At 35.7% G+C, this 19,613-nt stretch overlaps 1 protein-coding gene across 2 annotated transcripts in view; it reads left to right on the forward strand.

The window, feature by feature from the left end:
• The window catches only part of PCDH7 (protocadherin 7), a 426,432-nt gene extending 408,346 nt beyond the window's left edge, over positions 1-18,086 (forward strand). For both annotated transcript variants that reach the window (NM_001173523.2, NM_032457.4), the window contains exon 3: positions 13,759-18,086. In NM_001173523.2, coding sequence (NP_001166994.1) covers positions 13,759-14,135 — 377 coding nt within the window. In that variant the 3' untranslated portion in view covers positions 14,136-18,086. The remainder of the gene's footprint in view (positions 1-13,758) is intronic.
• Positions 18,087-19,613: the final 1,527 nt, after the last annotated feature.

Here is a 19,613-nt window from a genome sequence, read left to right on the forward strand (position 1 = left end):
TAGCAGCCTCTACTGACTCTACTGACAGCACCCTGCTCCCTAGGCTGGGTTTGAAGACTGCATTTTGTGTTATAAAACACTTCCATGGGTTATTCCCATTGACTACATTGTTCTGTTAGAAAGAAAATCTCAACTAAAAAGGTTATAGGACAGGTCCTAAAAGGGGATGAGGAGAGTGAGTGGTGAAGTTCATTCAGATCAGCAAATACCAAACAAAAAAGCAAAAGCCACATTGCTTTCTCAGCTTGGCCAGTGACATTGCATTTAGGATTAACAGATATCTTGCTAATAATTCTACCTGTGGCCATTGTGAAGGTAGATATAATCATCAGGGATGACAGGTAATCTGTCTCCCTGCTATATCCTTCATTCAACCATTCAACAGGCCCTTAATGAGCATGGGACTGGAATGGTCCTAGGATTCAAAGTATGTACTTGAACAGCTTACCCTGCCCATAGAGAGTGATATTTACAGAAAAGGTCATATGAATAGGTAGCAGACTTCAGTGCCAGACATTAAGTGCTAAGAAGAGGTAGGCATAGGATGAAGACCAAACTGGCAATGAGGAATCAAAATTCCACAGGCTATCCAGAAGAAATCTTGAACGAGATGCCTTGGAACACTGTTTTGAAGGACTCATGAGAGACAGATAACAAGTCAAGGAATAGCAGAAGAAACACATTAATATCATGAATACATTGAACAACATGAGGCTTTCCAGAAATGATACCTACCTTAGGTCTGTGGAAGTGGCAAATGGCAACATGTGAGATCCGAAAGGCTCTTTTGTGCTAAAATAAGGGGTTTGTGATTTATACTGAAGTTTATGGAGGAGAGTTTTAAACTAGGAACAGACTTGTTATTCTACTTACAATTCCTAAAATAATCATGAAATTATTTTCTTTAAATTTTGTTATTATTATTATTATTGAGAAGGAGTCTGGCTCTGTCTCCCAGGCTGGATTGGAATGTAATGGTGCAATCTCGGCTCACTGCAACCTCCACATCCCAGGTTCAAGTGATTCTCCGGCCTCGGCCTCCTGAGTAGCTGGGATTACAGGTGCCACCACACCCAGATAAATTTTGTATTTTAGTAGAGACAGGGTTTCATTATGTTGGCCAGGCTGGTCTCAAACTCCTGACCTCAGGTGATCCACCCACCTCGGCCTCCCAAAGTGTTGGGATTACAGTCACGAGCCACCATAACAGGCCACAATTTTTTTTTTATTAGGTACAGTTTTCTGCTAATCACTAGGAGGGAAACAGGTTAAAGAAAACAACAACAAAAAATAAGTGATGAACAAATAATAAACATCAGAAATCACAAAAATGCCATAAATCCTATAAAGTATTTATTAGAGTTGTGCCCTGGTACCTGACACTGCTTCTTAGATGTTACGTCAAATTCTCTTCTCTTCTTGGGAATTACATTACCCAAATTTAGAATGACTTAAAATGATTCCTTTGATTATAGTGCCAGAGGCAGCTATCACTAAGGGGTAGAGAAAGGAAAATATGATCACCCAGAAAGGTGAGCTGTTTGTACTTTACTGAACAAAAATAATTTAAGGTGTGTTGATTGATCATATACAAATAATACGGACAGTTGGATACTAGAGTGAAGTAGAATTTTCAAAACTGCAAAATGAAAATTCTTTAGTGTATTCTAAAAAATTAGGTACGCATGACTCAATGGGAAATAAAAATCAGTTTTTCCACTCCATATCTTTTAATGGATGAAATATAGGTACAAAGCACAAATGCAGCAAGTCTATACTAACCCTACTGCAACCAGAGAATTGGGAATGTGTTTAAGGTTCCCATTGTAGCTATAAACAATAACTACAAACTTAGAGTCTTAAGGCAATGAAAATTTATTTAAATCCTATAGACCAGAAGTCTGACATAAATCTGCCAGAGCTAAAATCAAAATCTCAGCAAAGCTGTATTCCCTTTCTAGAGGCTCAAGGGGAGAATCCGCTTCCTTGCCTCTTCCTGTTTCTGGAGCATGCCTACATTCCTTTTCCATCTTCAAAGCTGGCAATGACAAGTGCAGTCTTTCTCACATCACTTTATTCTTACATGGGCTTTTCTTCTGTCTCCCACTTCCACTTCTAAGAAGCCCTGTGATTAAAAAATGGCTGAGTCAGGTCATCCAGTATAATCTCCCTATGTTAAGGTTAGTTTATTAGCAACCATGGCAAAGGGGAATGAAGGTTTCAGATAGCAATGTCACCTGAAACCTTCATTCCCCTTTACCATGTTACCTAACATATGCACAGTTCCACAGATTAGGATGCATACATTTTTGGAGGGGACCATTATTCTGCCTACCAAGAGAGGTTGTAAGAGTGAATGCGCAGAGCAGCTCCTGCCCCAACACAGGGAGCACTGAGACTGCCTCTAAATCCATGCAGCCTGAGAAGGCATAATGTTGGCATGAGGGGATCTCCAGAGCTTGCTTCTCCGTGCATCACAGGCTCCCCGGGAGGTTTAACAGTGAGATTTTGCCACTCTCCAAAGTAATAGGCAGTAAATAAAGGAAAACATGTCAATGAGCAGGGAAAATCAATGAAGTAAACTGATCCAGTGTTGCTTCATTGATTTCTCCCCTTTTTATCTGATCATTGAGTTTTGTTTGCTGGTCACCAGAGATCATTTTCTTCCTTTTCCTTTTATTTACCTGCTCTGCACTCCTGAGCTCTTCAACACTCTTTTGCTCCTAATTGTGATTGCCAATTTTACTTTCAACTGATCAGCTTATTGATCAGAGTAAGGAGCCAGCATTTCAAATGTTTAAAACTCTTCCCATGAATGGTTTTTCAGCTCCTAACAAAAGCTCCCAGATCTTCATCCCTTAACAGTATTTCAGAACTCAATGTTTGCTTGAAACCTTCCTCAGAGGTTGAAATTTTGTCTTTCTCTCAAATCACAATCACTAATGAAATTCTATTACAACACAGCTTGTTATTAAAAGAGTAGTTCCAATCCAATAAGCTTTTCTGTGTGATTTCTGAAATGTTTCAATAGGCAATCCCAAGCAAAGAGTTTGAGAATATGATTTGAATATATTATCTTTGAATATGATTTGAAAATAGCCATGTTATTAGAATAACTGTATAGTTTCTCATGATGACTACAGGAAAGAAAAATGCATGGGTGTCATATTTATTACATTAAAAAAATTAGGATTACTTCAATAAATCTAAATTGCTGTGATTTGTCCCTGTGCAAAAAGTAATCACCTTTCAATTCTACTTCAAATATGATTTGAACTTCAATGTGATTCATTTTAGATTTTCACATAAAATAATAAATAGAAAATAACACATGGAAATACCTCATATCACATGATGTCTACTGTAGTGATACTTTCTTTCTTAAGACATCCCCTACAACTGAATTAATTCGATTTAACATATTTGTACTCATTAAGTATTTTAATAAGAACTGCTTATTGCAGAGGCTATTTCTTCTCATTTACTTTTAGAAATGCTTTATCATGGTTTATATGGAAGAAAAGAGAGTTTAAGAAAATATCTATTACATTTTTTCAATTCTCATTTTTCCCCCATCTTTTTATTTGTGTAAAAGTATATGTCATGGGGGATAGCAAAGATAAAATGAGCGCTTCCTTCAAGATTACAACCCAAAGGTGATATTCTTACAGTTAAAGGAGACTTTATGTACTATTTTTAAAGTAAACATCCATTCCTGAAGGCAATATTAATATTTATCATAGAATATACATTCTACAACTTTATCATCAATAATAAACATTTAGTTAATAATCCAGTTACAGAACTAATGAGTAAAAAGATCATACTGCCATATGATAATTACCTAGTTATGATGTAAAATTTGATAATTTGAGACCATTAAAATGAAGTGGCTCTAAATTGATACTTACAACTGTTTTAGTACCACACCAATACACTTTCTAGTAAAATCATTATCATTGTAAAGTAGCTAACAAATTCTATTAACTTATAAACAGTGCCCCATTTGCATCATTATTGTTCTTATTTGGACTTCTGTGATAACAAGAACTGATTTTACTTCTTATGACAAATAAACAAAGATTCAGTTGCTGGCAATTCAAGACACTGGTTTGAAGCAAATGTTGAACATGGATTGTAGGAAAGAAGACAAGTTTTTTCAGGTTGGTGATCAGCAATCAGTTAAATCCATTCCCAAGAATCAATTTTCTATTTAAACAGAATCTTGCAGATTATTAGGATTTTTGGATTTGGGCCTCCAAAGAACTTACCTAAAATATTGACATAATCATACCTGTTTTCTTTTCTTCTAAATATGAGTTTTATAATTTGTTTGTTTTAAATCTTTGTGTCACTGAATGGCAGTTTATTTACCACATGTAATTTCTGCTTGTTGAGGACAGGTGCTGAATTTTTAAACATTTTTGACTTTGATTCTAACTCAATGGGGAAAAAAGGTCTAGGTGTGAAAACACACTGTCTTTTTCTCATTCACCTGGATGTTGGAACTATTCTGAGACTCTAATTCAGGTATCTTGAACCCCACAGAAACCATGCAAAATTTTGTGGGTACATATTTGCATTTATGTGAGGAGACAGTACTTTTAGTTTTCAACAAATTATTAAAGTATATAATTCCCGAGCAAGTAATTTTGAATATAGGAAAATCCAAGGGACAAGAAGGAAAATTATGAAAGCTATGATTATTTCAGTGAAAAAGTAAACATGAATGACCAAGAATTGGGTCTATTCTTAGTGGGATAATCAATTGGTTATTGTGGAATATATGCCCCTGTCTGTTCCTGGGTTTTATAAATTCTCTTTATCTATATCAGTGAATCATCTCATTTGCAGCAGTTATTTCCTCTCCACGCTGCTCCTTCACATGAGTACCGCTGCTGTCTCTAACTCCGCATGGGTAAAGAGGAGAACCAAAGTGAAGCCACATCTCTGATGTGCATAAATTGATCGCTCCTAAGCAGTCCTCGCACATTTTTCTGCTGTAGTGCAGTTTTCATGTGCCAGCCAGCAGATTCATGTTTGAGTTGATTCAGCAAGACTGCTTGAGATGTGGCGTACAGAATCTCCACTCTATATAATAATGCCACATTCAGAATGACAGTGGTCTAAGCCTAAGGGCAGTAAATGCTTCTTGAGATACATTCAATTGCTGTTTGAGTTTAGCCTAAGGTACAAAGAAAAGTTGCTGATGCTTTCAGACATGTTTAAACATTTTAATATTGTCTTGGCATGTCAGCTTGAACTAGAGCACTCCTAGGTATAACACAGTGAAATCCTGTAATTAAAGGACCAGAATTTCTAAAGGTTTAGATAGTAGCTCTCTACTTGAACTTCTTAATTAAATGTGCTTATATCTCTGAAAATGTTCTGTTATAAGCATTGTACTTGCAGTGATATTGGTCAGTCTATTATCCATGATGAGGAGATATAAAAGAAGTAGAATGGGCCAGGCACGGTGGCTCATGCCTGTAATCCCAGCACTTTGGAAGGCCGAGGTTGGGGGATCATGAGGTCAGGAGATCGAGACCATCCTGGCCAACATGATGAAACCCCGTCTCTACTAAAAACACACAAATTAGCTGGGCATGGGGGTACATCCCTGTAATCCCAGCTACTCAGGAGGCTGAGGCAGGAGAACTGCTAGAACCCGGGAGGTGGAGGTTGCAGTGAGCCAAGATTGTGCCACTGCACTCCAACCTGGTGACAGAGCTAGACTCCATCTCAAAAAACAAAAAACAAACAAACAAAAAAGAAGTAGAATGTATTGTTGTTAGATCCTGGGTTATTGCTTGGAACAGTTAATTTATTGCACATAGCATAATATATCTATGATCATTATTTCAGGGGCCTATTGCTTTGTCAATGAACTATTTCCTCAAAACAAACAAACACACAAACATAACTTAGTGGCTTCAAACAACAAAGATCAATTACTTCTCACATTTCTGTGGATTGACTACATGGTTTTTCATGTTCTGCCTGGCTCACTCATATGACTGCATTCACCTGGAGAACTGACTAGGATAGACTTTGCTGGGTCAGCTGGGTCTCTGTCTCAAGTGGGGTTCCATCTGCAAAGAGGCTAGACCATGCTTTCTCTCAGGATGGTGATCCCAAAGTTCTAAAGGTGAATGCAAAGTTGTGACCTCTTAATAGCTGGGCTGAAAATAGCACAGTATCACTTCTGCCACATTCTGGTTGTCAACACTAGTCCAGCTTCAAGGGATGCAAAATCGACAGTAAGAGTAGTAATGTCACATTCCAAAGTGGGTATGTGTAGGGAGACTGGAAGAATTTCATGTCCATGCATCATGAAATCTTCATAGCTCATGCTGAATGGCTGTTTTGTTTTATGATTTTTGATGTATGGTGCATTTTAGGTATTTACCCTGTGTTTAGGTTGTCTTGTCCTGATTTTCAATTTCTCATTCTTAAAATAATGTATTGCTAATTTTGACCCATCTTTTAATGGAGCTGCTCCTCGTGCTGCCCATGCAAGCAAAGCAAGATAGCACGCTGGCAACCTAGTATCTTAGGGGCAAGTTTCAAGTGAAATCATTAATCGTGAGGTTGATCTGTGAGGTTGTAAAGATAACTCCAAATAATACATCATTTGCCCTTGAATTTTGAGCAACCATGACACGTGATGAATAAATCTTTGGCAAACTCCTAATAGAAAAGTAGTAGGAGGATGCCTAATGTGGAGTAACCAGGATCCAGTGGCCAGCGTATGTCTCTAGATAGATAGTAGCTCTGTGTATCACAGACTCTATCAGCATAAATCCATTAGCACTACTAGAAAACTAACTGAAAATAGGTACCCATTTGCTTGACAATTGGTATTTATTCCATAATAAATTATCTGAAACCCTTGGAGCCAGATACATTTCAAAATTTGGAATCCTTCATATGTTATAAGACGTTATATGTTATGCATGTGTCATATATTATTTTAAAAATCTAAAAGTCTAAGGCCATGCTTTTAATTAAACACATTATTTCTATAGTAAAACATATGAATATTCACACTAAGTGAGACAAAAAAGATGCAAATAGCCTTGCATTAATTCATATCAGGTTCGTTGTAAACTTATGAAGGGGGAACAAGATCCTTTTGTTTTCCTAAGATATTTTGAAGACTGAATTTGGATTAGGGATTGTGCACCTGAAGCAAGTAATATTTATTGAGGGCTTACTGCATGTCAAAAATTATTATAGGTACTTTATATATATTAACACATTCAATTCTCACAGTAATTCTAAGAAATTAATACATTCTTAAACATTTATTACACAGATGAGGAAACTAAAATCAAGGAACTTGTCCACATTTATACAGCTGTGAAGTGACAAAGTTAGAATGTGAATCTAGATCACCTGGCTACTGAGCCTGTTCTCTTAAACAATATCCTTTTTATTCCTGGAAGACTTCAGAGAGGAAAAAATCTCTACCTCCTTAAATCTCTCCAGGGGCTATGACCTACTATTTACTGAACACCTACACGGCAGCCAGGACCATATTACGAGCTGTATAGACATTAACTCTTTTATCCCACAATAAATGGGGGAGTAGGTATTATTATCTCACATATAAGGAACTTGAAGCTCAGAAAAATTATGTCAGAAGTCACACAGCTTCTACGTGGTTGAGCCTGGAATCACACTGAGCAATACTGGGACTCTAAATCTCCTGCTCTTTTTAAAAGTTCATTGCTCTTTGCAGGAAGGGCCCAGGAATGGTACAGATGATGCCACAGCAAGGATTGATTGATTAGCCAGTGTTCCTATACTCTTCTATTTTGGTTAAATCAAGTGATCCTGTAATAAATTAAAAAACTCTTTGGAAATCTTAATGGCCTTTTTGTGGCCAGAGTGACACTTACTTAGATAACTATAAATTTCTCCTCTTCCAGAAAGTGTTCCTACATTTAGAGGATCACAAACTGCTGGTCTGAGTCAGTGATTCCCGCCCTGACCGTGAACTGTGATGTGTTTGCCTGTCCAGTCTTCCTAAATTCCCCAAACCGGCAAAAGGCAGGGATATTTTAGTTATTTACGTGAAAAAGCCAAGTCCAACTCACTTGTGCATCTTTTGGATCTTGTCTCCTCACCTCCAATCTTTATTAACTATGATAATAATCATCCAAAAAAAAGTTTTGGTTAACCAGCATTTAATTATTTTTTTCTCAGCCCTATCATATAAAATAAAAGTAAACAATTTTCTAACAGGTATTTTAAAATAAAGCATTTATTTAATCATTTGAGTAAAAGATATTTTCATTTAGACTAATGACAGTGAAGGGAATGTTAAAACATTTGTTGTAAAACATTTTTCACTGATCTTTTGTTTTTCTTGTTTACCCTTTTGTAAAACCTTTTGTAAGTCCACCAAATTTCACTAGCATTTAAGTGTGCTTCTAGAAAAAATAAGTCTTTGTGTAGAGGGAAGTCAAGAAACATAGAAAGAAAACCAAACACTTTAAAAAGGAAAAAAGGAAAAAGTTCCTGCATGTGGTTTTGTTTTGTGTTGTTTTGTTATTTTGTCTCTAAAGGAAAGAAATACCAGGCCGGGAGCAGAGGCTCACGCCTGTAATCCCAGCACTTTGGCAGGCTGAGGAGGGCAGATCCCTTGAGATCAGGAGTTCGAGACCAGCCTGGCCAACATGGCCAAACCTCATCTCTACTAAAAATACAAAAAATTAGCCTGGTTTGGTGGTGCATGCCTGTAGTGCCAGCTACTCAGGAGGCTGAGACATGAGAATCGCTTGAACCCAGGAGGCAGAGGTTGCAATGAGCCGAGATCGTGCCACTGCACTCCAGCCTGGATGACAGAGCGAGACCCTTCTCGAAAAATAAAATAAAATAAAACAAAATAAATAAAAAGAAGAAAATACTTCTTATTTTTTTGCAGATTTTGTCAAGTAATGTTAATCATATGCCAGAGCTTGATGTTAATGAACAAATTGGAGGAATGGTGTGGGCATCTGGGAAGTCCATACGTTGACTTAACAATCCGTTTATCTCACATGGCCAGCAAATTAAATAATATGTGAGTTAAACAAATAAATGATACATACAGTTTTACATATCTGATCTTTAAGAAAACTCATTGGAAATATTTTAATACTAAATATAACATGTTCATACCTTCTCTCAGCAAATGCAAAGATCCATGTATCTCTAGCCTCAAGCCAAGGACCTGGAGTAGAGTGAGTGTCTGGGATTCTGACAGGATGCAAAACTCAGCATACTTAAAATCCTTCCTGGTGCAGAACTGTCTTCAAGTCTTAATGAGTCTACTGTGCTCTCCTATAATAATTTTGTCTCTAATGGGTTCTGAATTATGTAAGGCATCTTCTGGAAACATGAAATTCCTCTCTAAACCTGGGCTTTCCTTGTTATTTCTAAAGATTCTATTATCTATCTGTCACTTCTTGTTGAGGTCATTGTAACAGCATCTAGCAGCATCTGCCCACCACCCATCCATCTACCCTGCCTAGTAAAAACAAAAATACTATGTTTTTGAGAGATAATCTGACTTCTTAAGAAAACATATAATTTTCTCCACTTTCCAAAATGTATAGTTTTAGGGAGGTTGTTTCATTCTTTTCACTAAGTAGTAAAATTTGTGACTCTGTGACATCTATTTCCTGTGCTACTCAGATTTTTTTTTCTCTTTCTCTGCAGACTGTAGCTTGTTCAGATGGTTATGAGTAGCAGTCATTGACCTCTAAATAACTCAGCTGTTATATTTTAAGAAGAAGCAATGGGTTGTAGTGGGAAAACAGTAAATTGAAAGTCAAAACACTTATTCTTCGGCTTCAGCTCTCCCGTAGCTTGGACCCGTTCGCTGTTCCATCCTCCTTGCTATATGATTGAGGTGCTAAATTAAAGAGATGAACTTCATGTGGGAAGTACTTCATGTGTTATGAATTGTTCTAAGATTGTTTGCTAGTTTGATGGCTTAAAAACTGTTACTTTCTCCCAGCACTTTGGGAGGCCAAGGCAGGTGGATCATTTGAGGTCAGAAGTTCAAGACCAGCCTGGTCAACATGGTGAAACCCCATTGTATTTTGAAACAATACAAAAATTAGCCAGGTGGTAGTGGTGCGCGCCTATAACTGTAGCTACTCAGGAGGCTGAGGCAGGAGAATCGCTTGAGCCTGAGAGGCAGAGGTTGCGGTGAGGCAAGATTGCACCACTGCACTCCAGTCTGGGCAACAGAGTGAGATCCTGTCTCAAAAAAAAAAAAAAGAAAAGAAAAAAAACTCTACTTTCAAGAGAGATATTAACCTTATGTCTAGGAAAGGATCTTAACTTTCTAATAAGATGCAATGATTCTAGTAAATAGCATAACTTGGTTAAAATGGAAACCTCTACAAGTAATGCTAAGCAAGAACAGGATTTGATGGATACCATTTTTTTACTTCCAGTCTTCTCAAGGTTTGATATGATTGATGGGGTATGCGGGCGTTGAGAAATACAGAAACAACAACAAAAAATTCTCTAAGGAACTGGCTTTATTGTGGAAAATGCTTACAGAGAATACTATTTTATTTTCCTGTTGTTCATTTGTATTGATTTACTCAATGCCAGCTAAGATTTGTGATCAAGTGTCTTCCATCTTCACTGAGATCAAAATTTAAAACAACAGTACTAAAGCATAAAATAATGTTCTTAGATGTTAGAAAAGACATCCTTCAGTGAAAGACTAAGAAGAGTTACTAATTGTGAAAGGCTTTCCTCTATAATGCCACAAAAAAATAGGACAGTTTAAAAGTATGTCTTTTATGGAAAGAAGAAATAATTGCATGTGATGTTTATCTAAGATCCTGCATAAATTTTGTGTTGAAAAAATTCATAATATATGCATGCATAATTAAAATAAGAAAATATGTAAACAAAGAAAAATACTTTTCCACTCATGCCCTTCTTTAATAAGTTGCATCGTAATACAGATTGCATTTGTTAATCATTGGTATTTCTTTGGAAGATTCACTTTAGTCAACCAAATTGGAAGTTTTGATTGCTTGTGATGAATCTCTTATAGCCCTTCTTGATTATTTTTCTAAATTTGATGACAAACATTGCAACATGTCTCAGCCAATTAGGCTTGTCAACTTCCTCTGTGGTCCCCAATCAAGTGTTTTACTTTGGAAATGACAGGAGATCCTTATTAAAAGTCATGCTTCTTGGATAGAGATGTGGCAGCTTGCATGTATATGATGGCACAGAAGACAAGCTGCCTTTCGTTAAAAGCAATAGAGGAAATCAATTTTGGCAGAAAATACTCCAGACTGTGAAGTAAAGACTGAAGGAAAGAACTGAAGAGCATCTCACTTATAGCTGATTGGAGATTCAGTCAATCTATTTAATAAATGATTATAATCTCTTATGAGCTGTAGGTAGTTTAGGTACACAAGTTAAAAAGTAAGAAGACTTGTTTGAGCATGAATATAGAATTACAAGCTGTTTATAATGCATCTCAAACAACAGGAAAACAAGTGCAATGAATTTCAAACTAAAAACACAAATTAATCCCTGAAAAGCAGCCACCTGTATAAGTCACTGTGTAAGTGAAATGACATATTGTGTGAGACATAAATGTGGAGAGATGATTGGAGACAATTCAGGGTCATTTCTGCAGGGAATAACAACCACATTCATAAAGATTTTTTTATATTTTAGAAGCTAAATTCCTGATTATTTTCCCATGTCCTTGCTATTCACTATCATAAGAAAAGAGGAGCAATTTGAATTTGTTGAAGCAGTGAAAAAAAAAAAAGGAAATATTTTGAGTAAAATGCAGACCTGATCTTACACTTTGCATTTCTATCCTTTTTTCCCCCTGTTCAAAGCATTTAGGTCAGGTTAAAAAAAAAAAAAAAAGAAAAGAAAAAAGGATCCCAAAATAGGAAATATTCTCAAAGAACTTGCAGTTTGTTCATTTAAACCAACTAGATTACAAAAACCACTAATAAAATTTGTCAATAATTTGATTATTATAATGCATCTAAGATACGTATTTGAGAAACAGACAATTTAGGGTAAAAAAATGAGTGGGAAAGTACTTTTTTCTTTTGATGAAAAAATTAAGAGAATCTGCTCACTTGTAAGTCAAATGGCAGCATCGGCAACTGGAATAAATAATTAACCTTACATTTTACCTACAGGAAAGGGTCAGCTAATTCTAGATTTCCGGTGTAGAACACTAGAATTTCCTTGTTAACGCTTAGTCAAGGGCATAAAAATCCCAGGACGCTGTTTCAATAATCGATGGGCCGACAAATGTCAATACTTCAGTTACCCATCATTGAAGGAAAAAATGACAAACATTAGTGGCGAGCCTTCATTTAGGAGATTTAGCCAAGTAAAACGTCTAAAATATCCTATACAAATGTTAAACTACAGGGGATGGGGTGTGGAAGCAAAAGCAGAAAGTGTACATATCTTGGGAATAATTTAAATAACTTCCTCTTCTATTTTAAACGAATCTACTAGGATTGTGCATATGCACATCTCACTGATTCCACTGGTTGCAAATATATTTTCAGAGGTCAAATTCGTCAGTCTTTAAGTCCCAAGCCTTGTAATAAAATGATACCATGTGATAACAACTGGAATGCAGTCATATTATGTTCTTTTGTTTGGCAATAAAAAACAATAAAACATTTTAAATAAAACCCTTCAGGTTATTGCCTCAGAATCTGTTGAAGTAGAACAGGCTTTTCTCTCTCCCATTCTCTCTTTCTCAAACAAAGTCTGTAAAAACATGTTTAATATTTAGAAAATACATAACCATTCTCCAAAGACAGACACATGCTTTCAATTATACATACAGGTAATTATTAACTGTCATCTTTAATCTTGTTTCCTAAGAATTCTTTGTACATGATTTAGCCTTTTAGAAGTAAAAGTCATTTCCCATTCCATTGGACAGCACCATTAATTAGAGTACAGGCTAGTTCATCCAAAGTTTAGTAACTTACCCGTATTCACCCAGTACATTACATTTCAGATAAGATGGCCTGTGTATTTTGATGTGAACACATCAGCACATATTAGGTCATTTGGCATGGTAGGAGGGGGGTGAGGGGATGTGGGCTAGGGTGGGCAGGTGCGTGATATTGCTAGTATGCTTATACCTGTAACTACTGGTTCCTTGCTTTTTAGTTTTTACCACATAATGTGCTGTCAATTTAGGTTCTACTTATGAGTCACCCCATGTCTTAGAATGTATTTTAAATATAAGGTTTTGCATATTTGCATTCTATGAATAATGTATAAGCAGGAAGAAATCCAATTGGCAAAAGCACACCACTTCTGGGATAATTTATAAATCCAGAAAATTGTCTATTTGGATTTAATAATTTTTCTTATGGATGTGGAAAATATTAGCACCCATACAAATTTACCTATGTATTTAGAGCTTCTAACTGAGACCATCCTCATGTCCCTGTCCTGTAACAAACACACATATATCTGTTTCATCTACACACTTAAATGTATCATTTTGTCTACTTTCCTGTTCTATAATATTGGATGTCCTTGCAAAACCTTATCTTTGATGCACATGGGATTAAAAACTGTCCTATGGAATGATGAGCTAGAGGGTGTTGGGAAATGAGAAATAAGATGGTAAGGAATATATTTATATATTTCCTCTAATTTCATATAGATCAGGGGAGCCTGTTGAGGAGTGTCAAATACTAATGGCTTATTCTCCTTGGATTTCAGATTCAAGGCCTCTTCCAGATGTAGCCCTGACTGGGAAGTGCACTCGTGAGTGTGATGAGTATGGCCACTCAGACTCCTGCTGGATGCCGGTCCGCACTTCTCCGGAGAGGAAGAAGAGCCAGCCTAAACTGTCCACTTTCATGCCTGTTGATGAACGAGGAAGCCAGGAAAAGCTGGCCAATGGGGAGGCCGCCATCATGGGTGACCGCAACAGAAACCTCCTGAACAAAAAGTTGACCTCATCCTATGAGACCTTCAGTGCAGCTAGTTTCAGCAAAAATGAGGAAGCCAACCCTGAGGATATTCCCCTTACAAAAACAGGGGAATATAAGCCATCTCCTGTCAATACTCTCACTAGAAGAGAAGTTTACCTGTAGGCTATAAAGGAGCAACAGCAAAGTTCTTTACATGTATGAAAAGGAGAATAAGGGGCAAAAACCTTACAAAGCAAAACGTTTAATCACAAAGAGGGGGCTACCAAAGAGACAAAGCTTTGCCTGCCACTTCTGCCTCCAGATCAGGCCTTTAGTGATACTGTTAGCCTGATTCTACTGTACAATGTAGAAACCATCCTTGTTACTTGCATGTCTAACCCCTTCACTGATTCCCAACACTCACTTTCTCTTCCCCACCCCTCTCCAAAAAAAAAAAAACAAAAAGAAAAGAAAAAAAAAGGGGGATAGTTGCAAGTTTCTTTCACAGTAACTGTACGAAGCCTGATTAGCAGAACACAACACACCCTCATTATCCCTAAGCTGAAGCATGATTTTAGTCACTTTGATTTTGTTCGAGTGTCATCTGGCTGGTCAAAAATAAGCAGGACAGATAAAATGTATTTCAGACATACCATCAGAAAATGGTTTATCACCATCAAAGGCAATCCTTTGAAAGTGATAGAGTCCCTCTAAAGGTACAGTCCTTAGAAAGAGGGACTGTATTAAAAAGTATTTTGGGAATATCAAAGCTTTAATATTCCAACAAAGACTAAGAGAAAAACAATACTCAGTGGGTGATTGCAGTCCTAAATTGTCATATGTTGTTATTTTCAGGTCAAGAGCATCAACTTCAATTCCATACATTCACCAAATATTCTCAGTATACACACAGTCTTGATTACATGTATCAATTTCACCAGTTATGACTTCTAAAAATTATATATATTTTTTCAGAACAAGACCACTATTATTAACTAACTTGAACAATTGTATCATCCAAAGGCCAAAGATCATATGGCAGATCAGGGAAGTCATGAAGTTGATTTGGTCTTGACGTGGAAAACCATTAAACAACAAAAGCAACTGAACCCATGTATGCACAGAAACAATCAAACACTAGTTCATTTTATAGTGCCCAGGAAAATGTTCCTTCTTTTAAAATGGATTTTATTTGAAAGCGCAGAAAATGAAAACTAGTGAGATATATTTTTGGTATTATAATAGGCAATTGGTTGAGGTTCAAGTTTAGTTTCAGGTAATATTATCAGGGAAGATTCCATGTTTTAAAATAGTATTTATGGATCATGGGTAGGTTAAGAAAGATGCATTGGCATATAGTCTTGATAGTTAAGTCCACGATTATCATTTTAGAATCCAGGCTATGCTTGCTGCTCTTTTTATCCACATTTTAAATTACAATTGCATTTTTTACTTGTTCAGTGCACACTTTGATGCACCACAAGTGCATTAATTTTGAATCGTGTGCAATATAGAAATATTTTGAGACTCACAACATTGAAACAAGGTGACACCCTAGTTGACTTTATCACTAATGTGATTTGAACATTATTTAAACAAATCTAGACTGAACATGAAAGAAAGGAGTTTTGGGCAGTGACATTTTTCACAGAATGTATATCTCAAAGGTGAAAGCAGAGTTTTTCCAGTGCAATAAAAAGAAACAGAATATGCAGATTTTGAGCTACTCACTCTATAGAGGATAACCTAACACGGCTGAAAATTGAGCTGGGACATTCAGACGAAAGTGACAATCCATGGACAGAATAGGGAATAACAGGTGTGAAGAGAACAAACTTATCACTGAATGTTTGCAAGCTGGTTAAGGCATAGCCTTGATGGCTCTCTAGCAAACTGTAGAAACAATGTAGCTTTGGGTAGTTTCATGCTTTGCAGAATTTCTTAGACTATAAAGTGACACAGCCTGGAATATAGGTTGATAATTCACTATAGGTCTTCAAAATACTTATCTTTGAAAACCGCTTCTCTGTTTGGTGGGGTACAATTTGGGGGTCATTTCCTTATGCTCTTTCTTAAATGGAGTTTTCATTTTGATGTTAGTTTATGTATAATAGGTAGGATGCAAAAAGATATGTAATTGAAACAAAAAACATTGGACTAAAATATCAGTAATTGAACATGTTTATGTTTGATTATTATTTACACTATGGAAAGATGCAATTCTAGTACTTTGTTAGGAAACTGCATTAAAGCAGTTCTGCCTTGTATAATCTGTAAGTACCTATTAAGACAAAATACTTCTAAAGATACTTATGAAATGTATACACATTTTTTCTTGCACGTTACAAAGAAAATACTCAATTGCATAACACGGATGTTTGACAAACTTTTTTTTTTTTAATGCATTTCTTTCTTTCATGAGACATTGAAACCACTGATAGCTCATTTCACCCTATCTTAAACCCTTCTCTTGTCTATAAAACTAATACGGGTCACACCGGACCTTCGGATTAATTGGATCCACATTCCCCAATGATGTTTGCACCCCATTCAAGATAGCCATGCCATTGTCATTTAACTCGTGAACCTCTCTTTAAAACTAAAATGGATGTGAAAGAATAAAATTCAGTGTACTGTAAGTATTCACAGTAATTCTAGTAGAATTAGCTGTCATAACATGTTTATTATATAATGAGCTGGCATGACACAGAAATATATTTTGTGTTTGTATGACTTTTATTTTAAATAGGTTAAATCTGGTGCCACTCCATATATAGAGTGCTTTTGAAAAAAAATCAATAAAAAGAAACAAAAAAAATAAATGAGTGAATGCAAAATAAGCAACTGTGCCTTTTATACCTGTTGTTACGGTAAAAAAACGGTTGTTGGGTTTGGACAATGAGGGGAAATGGGCTATTCCCAACTTTTTTGATCCTGTATATTTGTCCATGTTTATTTTCTGAACATAATAAATAATATATTAAAAATTTGCCTTCTGACAAACTCAGATAATGGACCAGTCTTAAATATTGTTATGTCATAAAGCAAAGTTAAGGCATTAATATGGGCTGCTTAAATCTGACTAGAAGATGAAAGCGTTTATTGTAAGTGTAACACAGAGATACTATCAGGAGTGAAATCAGTCCATTTGGCAAGGTAAAATACTGATTTAGAGTTTTATTCTTTATTTCTTTTTTGTTGTGTTTCTTTCAGCTATGGTTTCATTTTGGTTGTACAGTATATAAACCATATTTGTTTTCTGTACACAAGACTCTCAAGTGAATTTTGCATGCATTATACATTAGGACACATTTATAAATTAATGAGTAACTATATAAATTTATGTGTATTAAAACGTCTGTAGCTTCAATCTAAAATCTACTGCTCTTTCTGAATCTCCAGATATCATTTCTGTATGGTTTCTGACTGGCCTGCTGCCTGAGTTTCAGAAAACAAGGGAGGCATTATTTTTATGGGAGGAGGAACTAAGATGGTACTGAGGATGTCTGACTGAAACACTACCCTAGGAAGCTGTCTTGTAGGAAAATAGAATAAAACACACAGACCAGAAGAAATTGTCAAGAAGCAAACAGCCATCCAAAAACAGTCATGAGAAATCTAAAGACCTAAATAATCTTAGGTATATGCTCTCAGTGAGAAATAAGAAAATGTGTCCTTAAGCAAAAATAAATAAATAAATAAATAAATAAATAAATAATAAAAAGTGAGCATGATCATGAATATAGTAAATCTTGTGAGTTGTGACCTAGGTGAAGGTGTAATGATAACATCTGGAGGAAGCATCATTTGTTCAGCTACCTAGGGTTTACTTTCAGACTTTTCCTACAGTTTAAAGCACTTGCGTTCAGTGTGGTACGATCTGTTTGTAATGTTAATCATTGACTATTGTTCTGCTACTTGGATGTTGATAGTGAAGCAGAGAACAATTTATCATCGTTTATTATGAGTCACTATGCACGCAACTATGCTTAACATGGCGAAATGTATTAAACACTCGTCCAACTATTTATGAAATACTTTGCATAATTTAATTTGCTTTTGTACAGTTTTATGTAAATAAATTGCTTGTCATTTTTGTCTCTGCAAATTAAAATATAACATGGTCAAATGGTTTCACACTTGTAAGTGTACTTCTCTGTTGACAGGTAATTCAGTTTTGATTGGACGAAAAGTGAATGGATGCATGTACCAGTTTGATTTAAGATGGTTTGATTCCTTGTAAATTAAGACACAACAAGGAGGCTAATGTGGCAGCAATTGTTGATTTAGGGGGGGCCATTCATAACTGTCACATTACTTTGCCTCGTAATGGAATAGAACTCGGATCCTTCAGTTTCATCAAAATAATTCCTGAGACATTTACCTAGCTAGCTTATTACCTTAAAGTGTATGGCAGAAAAAGGAACTTAACATCATTAACATGAAGACTGATTTATTTTCAGAGGCATCTACAGGAATTTCACATTTAAGATAAAAGTAATCCTAAGTCAAAATGTATCTTTGTTTTGGAAATATTTGTTTTTAATCTAACTTAACAACAAATACAAAAAAGTTATAGGCTTTAAAAAATCATGCAAAATGTAGAGAAAATAAAGGAAAAATATAATTTTTACTTCGATAACTTACTTTTTCTTTAATGGACTTTCTCTACTTTTCACATTTTTTCTATATTTTATTATCTATTTTTAATCATTCCACTTACAATTTGTTATAAAATTCTGTCCCTAACTATTATAGTTATCTTCTTTATTTACTAAATTGGTATCTATTCGAGTAAGCACCTTTTCTTCTCCAATCTCTCAAGTACGGCCTTTTTTCCAACTCAGAGACTTAAAAGAGAAGGAAAGTACTTTCTATATATACTAACAGATTGCTTGGAATTTCTGTCCCATCTCACAATAGCAATGCTAAAATCTACCAATGTGAAAAAATATTCTAAAGATCTTTACCTGAGGCTTCTCTACTAGATTTTTCCCCTCTCTTATGTGAAAATGTAATATATTTTATTTATATTAGATGACGTATATTTTCTTGAATCAAAGATATCTCTGAAAATTGAGTTTGACAGGCAGCCTTTCTTCTCTAAAGAAGGAATTAGGGTGAAGTATGGTGAGAAGGTCTACTTCAAATTGGAATGGGGTGAAGAAGTGATATGTCCATTCATTTTGGCTTTCTGCTTTTCTAGTGGTGAGAGCTAAACATGAGTACATATTTTAATGGAACAGTACATAAAATAAGATCACTATGAAGTAGACTTTAAATTTTCACATAAGAGAGGGGAAAAAACATGGCTAAAAAAACCTGCATGGAACTGCTTCCAAGGCATAGATTTGATTATTCTACCATCTCTGATTCAATGGAAGAATTTCATCTCATAACTTAGAAGCTTGACTTTACCTGTTTACAGCAATACTTCACATTTACTATAAGATTTATCTCAAAAGTCTCATATCTGCAATGTAAGCTATAGTTAGATAAGCCATTTATCAAGGATGATTTTACTTTTATTTACTTTTACTTATTTTTAATTTATTTTAATTAATTAATTTTTAGAGATAGGGCTTTATTCCATCTCCAGGCTGGGGTGCAGTTGTTGGATCGTAGTTCACCATCACGTGGAACTCCTGGGCTCAAAGGATC

Source organism: Homo sapiens, chromosome 4 (assembly GCF_000001405.40).
Source record: "Homo sapiens chromosome 4, GRCh38.p14 Primary Assembly".
NCBI classification, from domain to species: Eukaryota; Metazoa; Chordata; class Mammalia; order Primates; family Hominidae; genus Homo; species Homo sapiens.